This window comes from Homo sapiens, chromosome 9, assembly GCF_000001405.40.
Source record: "Homo sapiens chromosome 9, GRCh38.p14 Primary Assembly".
NCBI classification, from domain to species: domain Eukaryota; kingdom Metazoa; phylum Chordata; class Mammalia; order Primates; family Hominidae; genus Homo; species Homo sapiens.
The window spans coordinates 111,731,520-111,743,537 of NC_000009.12; the positions used below are offsets into that span (position 1 = coordinate 111,731,520).

The 12,018-nt window shown below is 35.9% G+C and overlaps 1 protein-coding gene across 16 annotated transcripts in view; it reads right to left on the reverse strand.

Annotated features, from left to right (window-relative positions):
• Positions 1-12,018, reverse strand: part of SHOC1 (shortage in chiasmata 1) — a 108,767-nt gene that overhangs the window by 45,349 nt on the left and 51,400 nt on the right. For all 16 annotated transcript variants that reach the window (NR_109816.2, XM_017014340.2, XM_006716975.3 and 13 more), the window contains 2 exons: positions 9,957-10,051; positions 6,761-7,003 (listed from right to left, as the gene is read on the reverse strand). Coding sequence is in view for 15 of the 16 variants with exons in the window: in XM_017014340.2 (XP_016869829.1) it covers positions 6,761-7,003; positions 9,957-10,051 (338 nt within the window). In the remaining variant the exon portion in view is untranslated. The remainder of the gene's footprint in view (positions 1-6,760; positions 7,004-9,956; positions 10,052-12,018) is intronic.

The following is a 12,018-nucleotide window of genomic DNA, read 5'->3' on the forward strand; positions in this document are numbered from 1 at the left end:
TGGAGCAGTCAGAACACACACATTTATCAATTCAATTCACTTTTTTGTATGGGCAGGGTCTATGGCACCCCAAAACAATTACAAAATTAAAATCAAGGTAACTGAGCACAGATAACTATAACAGATATAATAATAAGAAAAAAATACTTACTATTGTGATAATTACCAAAATGTGACAGAGACACAAAGTGAGCACATGTTCTTCAAATATCCATATAATGTATTAAATCTATAAAATTATGTAAAGTCTTTATTGTGATATATAACTAATGAGATTAAAATAAAACATATCATTCATGTTTTATATTTTTGATATCTAATAAATTATGATAATTCTAAAGTTGGAAATGCTGTTGGGAAATGGCTGCAAAAGAATTGCTTGATACAAGATTGCCACAAAACTTCCATTTGTAAAAGACACAATTATCTGTGAAGCACAATAAAGTGAAGTACAATAAAATGAGATGAGCCTGTATTTTTAAAAAAAAAATTATATACAAATGGCCAATGAACATGTAATAAGATGCCCAACATCATTAGTCAGCAGGGAAATAGAATTAAAACCACAATGAAATAACCACAACACACCCATTAGAATGATTAAAATTTAAAACACTGCCAATACCAAGTGTTAGCAAGGATATGGGGTAACTGGATCTCTCACACATTGCTGGTGAAAATGTGCAATGATGAAATTACTTTGTAATTTATAAAAGTAAACATACACATAAGACTCAGCAATTTGACTCCTAGATATTCATTCAAGAGAAATGATAATGTGTGGCCTGGCATGGTGGCTCACACCTGTAATCCCAGTACTTTGGGTGGACCAGATGGGAGGATTGCTTGAGACCAAGAGATTGAGACCCCATCTCTAATTAATTTTTTAAAAATAAAAAAAATTTAAAGAGAGAAATAACATGTTTCCACAAAAAGACTTGCACAAAAATATTTATAACTTTTATTCACAATAATAAAAAACTGGGGGAAAAGCCCAGGGGAATTGATAAACAAACTGTGGTATATCCATACAATGAAAAATTTTTTAACAATAAAAATAAATGAACTAGTGATACACAACATCATGAATGAATCTCAGAAACATTATGCTCAGTGGAAGAAGGCAGACACAAACAAACTTATACTATTTCATTCCATAAGTGAAATTCTAGGATAGGGGAAACATATAATACATAGTGACAGAAAGTATACCAGTGGTCGTCAAGGACCAGGGGGGTAGGTTAGTGAGGAGGAGAGGTGGGATGGAAGGAGAATGACTGCAAAGGGGCATAAAGAAACGTTTTTATGATAGAAATACTCTGCATCTTAATTGTAGTGGTAGTTTCACAGGCATATACTTGTCAAAATTCATCAAACTGTACAGTTAAAATAGGTGCAGTCTTCCTGCATTGGCAACATTTGTGTATATTATGATGTATCAGTGACAAAAGAGTAGTGCATCCTGGGGACAATGAAATCTTCACATTTGGAGCCTTCCTACATTCCATCATAAGCATCTCTTTTTTTTGGCTCATTCTAATATGTGTCCTTTCCCTTAATAAACCATATCTGTGAGTGCAATAAAAATAAAACAGGTGCAGTTCATTTTATGTAAATTATACTTCATAAAATTGATTTGGAAAAAAAACAAATGCCTATAGGGCCAACTAAATAATGTAAATTAGTAAAATGTATGGCTATGGCTTAAATCACAATCTTTGCTTGTATAGATGAACTTTGTATTATTTCCTTCCAAAATGTAGTTTATAATTTTTTTTTTGCTTTTATTAGAGATATTGGTATAAGAAACATTTTACTTTCCTCTTAACTATACCTAAATGTAAGACAAAAAGGTCAGATGTCAAGTAACAACAGGACTCAATTTGTAAGTCCTGGGAACTACAGCGAGCTGGAGAGTGCATGGTCTGTCTAATGTGGTAAGCTGCTAACACCTCCAGCCAATTGTTGCCATATCAGAATCTGAGTCCAGTTTTTGGAATTTAAAAAATAAGTTCAAAATACAGATTATATATGTGAAATCTGCCAAATTTTAAATGTTGGTAACTGGCTGGGCACGGTGGCTCATGCCTATAATCCCAGCACTTTGGGATGCCAAGGCGGGCGGATCACCTGAGGTCAGCAGTTTGAGACCAGCTTGGCCAACATGGCGAAACCCCATCTCTACTAAAAATACAAAAATTAGCCAGGCACGGTGGCGCGTGGCTGTAGTCCCAGCTACTTGAGAGGCTGAGGCAGGAGAATTGCATGAACCCAGGAGGTAGAGGTTGCAGTGAGCTGAGATCACGCCAACCTGGGCAACAGAGCAAGACTCTGTCTCAAAAAAAAAAAAAAGTTGTTAACTAATTAAAACACCATATGAGTCAATAATATGTGGGCTGAATAGGATCCAAGTGCCACTTTTCAGATATTCTCTAGTGGTAATCTGGTATGTTCAGCAGGTGAATAGAAACTGTTTATTATTTCAGTTTTCTCATTATTTTCCTTTATTATTCTCTCTTTAAGCACCCCTACCCTGACCGCTTGGCATGGGTTCCAGATATAGTTATTGCTACTTAAACTTCAGAATTATACTGCTATATATTTAATTATACTGTTAAACATTCATTTTTTTACAAATTGAAGTTTTGTGGCAATCTTGCATCAAGCAAACGTATTGCTATCATTTTCCAACAGCATTTCCAACTTCGGAATTATCATAATAATTTATTGGATATCAAGAATATCAAATATGAATATGTTTTATTTTAATCTCAAATTAGTTACAAATCACAATAAAGACTTTACATAGTTTTATAGATTTAATACATTATATGGATATTTCAAGACCTCATAAAATCTTCTCCCTTTTCTTTGTCTACTAACCTGACCTAATCTTATTTAACATTCTTATTCCACCGTGGGTACCATCTAGGCCTAAGATGGACTGGTGTGTATTTGCTTGATATTGTCTGTTTATCTGTTCTCTTTCCTAGCCAACCAAATATCTTTGTCTTCTGTCTTTCTAAAAAATTTATTTTACATCCCTTATTGTTCTTTTTATAAGGAATATTCAAGAAGTAAGAAAGCAGATTTTCTTAGGTTACCGTTGAACCTGGAATTTGTGTTACCACTGTGGTTATATTACTAGTGAGCCACAGGAGTACACTATAGAAATGAGTGGAAACAGAGACAGGGATATGATGACAGTTAATTGTCTATCATATATTTATCCCAAGGAGCACTTATACATCTGTTATATATTTTGGTATTTGCTATTTGTAGTTTTTTTGTGATTAAAATATAATTTGAACTTTTAATTTTAGATTTAGGAGTACATGGGCAGGTTTGTTACCTGGGTATATTGCATGATGCTGAGGTTTGGGCTATGACTGATCCCATCACCCAGGTATTGAGCATAGTACTCAATAGTTAGTTTTTCAACCCCTTCCCCCACTTCCCTCCTCTAGTAGCCCCCAGTTTCTATTGTTGCCATCTTTATGTCTATGAATACCCAATGTTTAGCTCCCACTAGAACATGCAGTATTTGGTTTTCTATTCCTGAGTTAATTCACTTAAGATCATGGCCTCCAGCTGCATCCATGTCACTGCAAAGGACATGATTTCATTCTTCTTTATGGTTGGGTACTATTCCATGGTGTGTATGTACCACATTTTTTTTTTATACTTTAAGTTCTGGGACACATGTGCAGAACGTGTAGGTTTGTTACATAGGTATATACATGTTATGGTGGTTTGCTGCACCCATCAACCCTTCATTTATGTTAGGTATTTCTCCTAATGCTATCCCTCCGTTAGCCCCCAACCCCACAACAGGCCCTGGTGTGTGATGTTCCCCTCCCTGTGTCCATGTGTTCTCATTGTTCAACTCTCACTTTTGAGTGAGAATATGTGATGTTTGATTTTCTGTTCCTGTGTTAGTTTGCTGAGAATGATGGTTTCCAGCTTCATCCATGTCTCTGCAAAGGACATAAAACTCATCCTTTTTTATGGCTGCATAGTATTCCATGGTGTATTATGTACCACATTTTCTTTATCCAGTCTATCATTGATGGGCATTTGGGTTGGTTCCAAGTCTTTGCTATTGTGAATAGTGCCGCAATGAACATACGTGTGCATGTGTCTTTATAGCAGAATGATTTATAATCCTTTGGGTATATACCCAGTAATGGGATTGCTGGGTCAAATGGTATTTCTGGTTCTAGATCTTTGAGGAATTGCCACACTGTCTTCCACAACAGTTGAACTAGTTTACACTCCTACCAACAGTGTAAAAGCATTTCTATTTTTCCACATCCTCTGCAGCATCTGTTGTTTCCTGACATTTTAATGATCGCCATTCTAACTGGCGTGAGATGGTATCTCATTGGTACCACATTTTCTTTATCCAATCCACGTTAATGGGCACCTAGGTTGATTTCATGTCTTTACTATTGTGAATAGTGCTGTGATGAACATATTAGTGCATGTATGAGATAAAAGACCTCTACAAGGAGAACTACAAAACACTGCTGAAAGAAATCATAGATGACACAAATAAAAGGAAAAACATTACATCCTCATGGATTGGAAGAATCAGTATAGTTAAAATGACCAGACTGCCCAAAGCAATGTACAGATTCAACACTATCCCTATCAAACTATCAACATCATTTTCCACAGACCTAGGAAAAACTATTCCAAAGTTCATATAAAACCAAAAAAGAACCTGAGTAGACAAAGCAATCCTAAGCAAAAAGAATAAAGCCAGAGGTATCACATTACCTGATTCCAACTATACTATAGGGCTAGGGTAACCAAAATGCCAAGGTACTGGTACAAAAAGAGATACAAGGACTAATGGGACAGAAGAGAGAACCTAGAATTAAAGTCGCACACCTACAGCCATCAGATCTTCAACAAAGCCAACAAAAATAAGCAAGGGGGAAAGAACTCCCTATTCAATAAATGGTTCTGGGATAGCTGGCTAGCCATATACAGAAGACTAAAACTGGATCGCTATCTTTCACCATATATAAAAATTAACTCAAGATGGATTACATATTTACATGTGAGACCTTAAACTATAAGAATCATAGAGGAAAACCTAGGAAACACCATTCTGGACATCAGTCTTGGGAAAGAATTTATGATTAAGTCCTCAAAAACAATCGCAACAAAAACAAAAATTGCCGAGTGGGACCTAATGAAACTAAAGAGCTTCTGCACAGCAAAAGAAACTATCAACAGAGTAAACAGACAGTCTACAGAATGGGAGAAAATAATCACAAACTGTGCATCCAACTAAGATCTAATATCCAGACTCTACAAGGAATTTTAACAATTGAACAAGCAAAAAACCACCCCATTAAAAAATGGGCAAAAGACATGAACAGACACTTCTCAAAAGAAGACTTACAAGACTTACAATGTATGAAAAAAGTGCTCAACATCACCAATCATCAGAGAAATGCAAATCAAAGCTACAATGAGGTACCATTTCATATCATTCAGAATGGCTACTATTAAAAAGTTGAAAAACAATAGAGGCTGGTAAGGCTGTGGAGAAAAGAGAATACTTATACACTCTGGGTGGGGGATGTAAATTAGTTCAGCCACTGTGGAAACTGTTTGGAGATTTATCAAAGAACTTAAAACAGAACTACGTTCGACCCAGCAATCCCATTACTGGGTATATGTTAAAAAAATCGTTCTGTCTTCTGTGTTTGAAACACTCCTTGCTGATAACAATTCTTATTCAGATTCCTTATCTCCTTAGACCAATCTCCCAACATAGACAGTAATTTCTAAAATTTATTTCTAAATATGTTCATTATCCTATAATAAACTATAAACTTTCCCAAATCTGGCTGGGCACGGTGGCTCATGCCTGTAATCCCAGCATTTTGGGAGGCTGAGGCGGGCAGATCACTTGAGGTCAGGAGTTCGAGACCAGCCTGGCCAACATGGTGAAACCCCATCTCTACTAAAAATAGTGGCGGGCATGGTGGCGGGCACCTGTAATCCCAGCTACCTGGGAGGCTGAGGCAGGAGAATCACTTGAACCCGGGAGGTGGAGGTTGCAGTGGGTCGAGATCATGCCACTGTGCTCCAGCCTGGGCAACAGAGTGAGACTATGTCTCAAAACAAACAAACAAACAATAAAAACAAACCCCCCCCCCCACACACAAAATATATAATTCATGCTAAATATGTTTAATTTACTATTAATATAATGCTGTACATAGCAACCCAAATAGCTCAAGACATACTCAAAAGACATTTTTGCCTTCTTAAGTTGTACAGTAAAAAATGAATTAGTATACTTTTAAGTAACAAACGAAGATCCTCTATTGTTAAAGAGTGATATTATTGAATGCTAATGTTCAGCTGTTAGGTCAAAAAACAGTTACTGCAAAATGCTGGTTTGCGTCTAGGCCAATGTGAACGGAAACTGCTAGCAATTTAATCATTTATAAAAGGAAACAAAGTCACTTTAAATGAAAATGGCTAGAAATTTAAAAACTGAGACTATAGAATTTTAGGACATAACAAGATTTTAGGGTTAGCTAGTCAAACTTCATCATTTTTTCAAGAAAATGGGACCTAGAGAAATCCAAAGTCATAAATTCTGGCAGAGCCAGGGCCTATATGGAATGCTAGAACCTAGTGATTTTCCCAATTACCTAGAGGAAATCCAGAATCTAACATTTTCACATTCTGAAAATGTTTACATAACTAATATTTACTGTGATGTACTTACATTCTAATTGAAGCACTTTCGTAGGCAAAAATATCTCAATTTTAGTGTCATTAGAAGACAAATTATCATGACATAAATATGTATTCAGATGTTCCAATGTTTCCATCATTTTCAGATTTAGTCCTGCTTGTTTCCACCACTCTGCCTTTTCCAGATTAATCACAAGGCTTTCTTCTTTAACAGAAAATATCTTTTTCAAATCTGTAACTGAATATTGGCTGTGGGGCTCTTGAATTCTTGGCACTTAAAAAAAAATAAAAAACAAATAGTTAGAAACAGTCTACAAAGCAAAAGAAACAAAACACAATAAACAGAACCACACTGGAATTTCTTTATGAAATGCATTTTTATGCATTAGAAAATAAGTGAAACTTGAAGTTATAGCTGGTATTTTTGTCTCAAGATGCTAATATTTGTAAAAGTTTAAGCTATTGTAGCAGTAGAAGTCACATAAAGGATTTATTTCACTCTTTGAAAATATCAAAAAGTTAAAATTATTCTGATATTTAGTAGAAGGAAATCTTATTTTGTTTGACCATTTTCAATTATTAAATTAATGTTTAACATTTTGAAGTAATACAAGCTTTATTAAATTAGAAATTCTAACTCATTATAATAAGCCTAAACAAGAAGAAATATTTGTTCAGATTTTATGATGACTATATCATCTTAGATATTGTGGTACAGCGCTTACTGCCTCATTACTTTCTAGCCTAAACGGGAGAAATCATAACATATGGAGGAACTGAAGTAGCACAACTACCTAATATTATTATCTGCATTATAAACATCAACCTGAAATTAGGATTATAAATTTTGAAACTCTAATTTTGGAATGGTGCTTTTATAATGACAGTAATATTAAGAAGAAATTAAAACTTAAAAATACTAATATTAATAATAGTAATTACAAGTTACTAAAAAACATCTGGCACTATGCTAAGTGCTTTCTTTACATGCATTATTCTTAATTAATCCCTAAATAATTCTATAAAATAGGTATAATTTTTAATAGTTTTATTAAAGTATAACTGACATGCAATAAACTACACATATTTAGAGTGAAAAGTCTCATAAGTTTTGACATATTTATACATTCATGAATCCATTACCACAATCAAGGTAATGAACATATCCATTCCCTCCGAAGTTTTGTATCCCTCCTGCCTCTTTATACCTCCCTTCTAATCTTCCTCATCCCCCAACCCCTGTCCCACTGTTCTGCTTCCTGACACTATAAACTACATTTTCTAGAATTTTATATAAATGGAATTATACCATATGAATTTTTTGTGGTTTCTGTCATTCTGCATAATTATTTTGAGATCATCTGTGTTGTGTATATCAACAGTCCATTCCTTTTTTTCAGGTAGAAATAATTGTAGATTCACATGCAGTTGCAAGAAATAATACAAGACGTCTTGTTCCCCCCTTTTTTTGCTTTAAAAGTATATTATACTATGTAACTGATAATTTCAATATATGATCTGATTTTGATGTCTAATGTTTCTGCTGTATCTCACTGATCATGCCAATATATTTTGTGATTGTTGTCTATTAGCATGTGTTTCTTTCAACTTTGTGGAAGGTCTTTGAAGCACGAGTTGAAGTACATTCTTCCAGAAAAAAAATTTATTTTCCTCTAGAAAGGATTTACTTTTGTCTCTATGTGTTTGGGAGGCACTGTCAACCTGGGACCACTTTAAATTAAATCACCACTATTTTTAAAAGTATATAGGTGGTTTGAATTCAGACTGCAACCAGGCATGATGGCTGCCTTCTGGTTAGCAGTACTTAAGAGAAATTTTTTTTCTTTTCCTCTCTTCCAGCTCCAAGGTAGAAATATGCAAATTTATTCGGAGTTCCCTTCTATATATGGTGGTTTACTTTTGTATGCTCTTATTTTGATGGTAGTTTGTTGAATTCCCAGTTTTATGTAGGGGTCCCCTATCAGACCCTCCACGTAGGATATTTCTTGACTCTACACTACATGTCGACCTCAAAACAGAAGTTCAAAGTCTCCAAGGTTTAATAGAAAGCTTGGAGTGAAAGCCAGCTTTGGTGCTTACTTGCTTCCCAGGATTCCTGTTTTCACTTTGTTTTTGGCCTCCAAATGCAACTCAGTGATTCATTTAAAAATTTTTTAAAACAATACCTTATCCAAAGTTCCATTTCCGTGATGGAATAGTTCAGACACAGACAAGAGTTTAACTTACTCAGATAAATTTTGAATATACATGTGAAATGTATAACCTCAAAATTATTTTGTTAAACTATAAACAAGTTTTGCTAAAATGTTATTTATTTATTTTTGAGATGGAGTCTCACCATGTTGCTCAGGCTGGAGTGCAGTGGTGATCTCAGCTCTTGCAACTTCCACCTCCCTGGTTCGAGCGATTCTCCTGCCTCAGCCTCCAGAGTAGCTGGGACTACAGGCGTGCACCACCATGCTCAGCTAATTTTTGTATTTTTAGTAGAGAGGGGGTTTCAACATGTTGGCCAGACTGGTCTCGAACTCCTGGCCTCAAATGATCCGCCCGGGTCGGCCTCCCAAAGTGCTGGGATTACAAGTGTGAGCCACGGTGCCCGGCCATTTTTTTTGTTTTGTTTGTTTGTTCGTTTGTTTGAGACAGAGACTTGCTCCTTCACGTAGGCTGGAGCGCAATGGCGCCATCTCGGCTCACTGCAACCTCCGCCTCCCAGGTTTTCAAGTGATTCTTGGGCCTCAGCCTACCGACTAGCTGGGACTAAAGGTGCGCTCCGACACTCCCGGCTAATTTCCGGCCGTTGTTAAAATGTTTTTAAACGTCTTTTTTGGAAAGCTTGGGCAACTAAAACTTTTAACATTAGATGAGATTTTTTTTTATTTTTATTTTTTTTTACAAACAACTCACAACTTTGGAAATACAAATTACTTGTATGGGACAGTTTTATGTACTACTTGTATTTCATTTCTTTTCTTTTCCTTCTCCCATGTATAGGAATTACCCAGAAAATCAGCAAGATCCGGATCTTGTCATATACTTCTGCACCTAGCATAATGAACCTTATGGAAGATATCTTGGTATTTTAGCTTTAGGCGAAGTTATATATTCTGTTAAGAAATGGTCAAAGAAAAAGGATATCCCACATTTCTACTCGTTGTACCTTTTTACCTATACTTTCTATTTATCACTTAAAGGCAATTAATCTTTACCTGTAAGCAAAAATGGGTTCAAAGGGCTTCTACATCTTTCTAATTGCCACATCATGTAGTATTCATTAGCTGATTCTTCAGCAGTAAGCAAATTACTGAAAAAAAGAGTTAAAGTTTAATACATTAATAATATTGAGTCTTTTGTATAATAAAATTTTATTTTATTTTATTTTTTTGAGGCAGAGTCTCGCTCTGTCGCCCAGGCTGGGGTACAGTGGCACTATCTTGGCTCACTGCAACCTCCGCCCCAGATTCAAGCGATTTTCCTGTCTCAGGCTCCCGAGCAGCTGGGATTACAGGCGTCTGCCACCATGCCTGACTAATTTTTGTATTTTTAGTAGAGGCGGGGTTTCACCATGTGGGCCAGGCTGGTCTCCAGCTCCTGACCTCAAGTAATCCGCCCACCTTGGCCTCCCAAAGTGCTGGGATTACAGGTGTGAGCCACCGCGCCTGGCCCAAAATTTTATTTTTAAAAAGTATTTTTAAAGTACTTTTACACTCAAAATCAAGTGAAAAATTGACTTTATAAATGTGTAAACTGCAGTCGAGTTCTACAGACCAAATATCAAACACAGTACTCACTTCCTCCATCCTTGGGAAAGTTTGGTAATTTGTAAACTCAATTGTTCCTACTTGACTGTAAATTACTCCCACCTCTACCTCCCTCAATGGAACCTGGAGCCAGAGAGGGCTGACTTGGGAGAGTTTTAGCACTTCCCTCCATAAACTATGCTAGCGTCAACCTTATACGCCACCAAAAATAAAAATACAATCTAAGTAAAATTACCATGCTTACCATGCACATAGCAACCTCAACAAAAATTTTTATAAAATTGCTGTCCCCAAGTCCATTCCATATAGAAATTCTGGATCCTCTACTGGCTGAGGATCAGAACTGTGAAAAAGTCCTTCTCTGGAGATGGCAGAGTCCTAAAGTTTAGTTCAAGACCTTCAATCTTGGTGGGTTTGTGAGTGAGTGATGTGTGTCTGTGTATGTGTGTTTAGGGGTACTCGGGGGGAGAAGGGAGAAAATAAGCATGTCAATCAGTGTAAATTACAGCTCATCTGTAGCTATGATGCTACTAGCCTTCGTAGGGGAAAGACTATTAATTCATAAACCCCTTAATCTGTGTCCCAAGCTCCCTGCTACCCTGAGTGAGAACTGATTGTATTCTGTTTCTCTGTTCATATGGAACATATATGAGCATGCTAATTATAAGTATTGCCAGTTAAATTGACAGTCTAGGGCAGTGGAAAGCTAGGTTTTATGTCTAAGGCATCCAGTTTACCCACATAATCCAAAAATCTGGTCATGTGATAGAAAATTTGAGAATCTAGACAATTCCTGAATCTTACCAAGGTTTCTTTGACAACACCTCAGATTGTAAGCAACTATTTTAAAGTGAAAGGAACGTGTTATATTTAGCAGGCCATGTCCAATATAGACACACATTTTCACTCTTAACGGAGCTTTCTGAAGGCATGTCTGAATCTGATACATTGTTCATAAAAATATATTCACAAGTCAGCAGTCAGTTAGTAGCTTAATAAAATCTTATGCCATACAGACTTTTCTTTTTTAGCCCATAAAATCTAGCATAGAATCTTATATGTGGTAGGCACTAAAAATATTGTTAACTGGGTATTATTTTCAGCCAAAATGTTGTGCTCTGAAATAAAAATAATTGGGACCATAAAAATAAGTTAAAGCTACAATAACATTCTTTGTTATTTTTCCTTCTTTTTTTCAAAAAAATTTTAACACCTTTTCTCCTTGTTTTTAGTTTTACAGTTGAGATATACAGTAGTTCCCCCTTATCCATGAGTTCACTATACTCGGTTTCATTTATCTGTGTTCAACTGCAGTCCAAACTATTAAACAGAATATTCCATAAACAATTCATAAGTTTTAAATTGCACTGTTGCGAGCAGTGTGATGAAATTTCATGCCATCCTACACCATCTCGCCCAGGATGTGAATCATCCCTTTGCCCAGCATATCCACACTATATGTACTCACTACCTGCCCATTAGTCACTTAGTAGCATTCTCAGTTATCAGA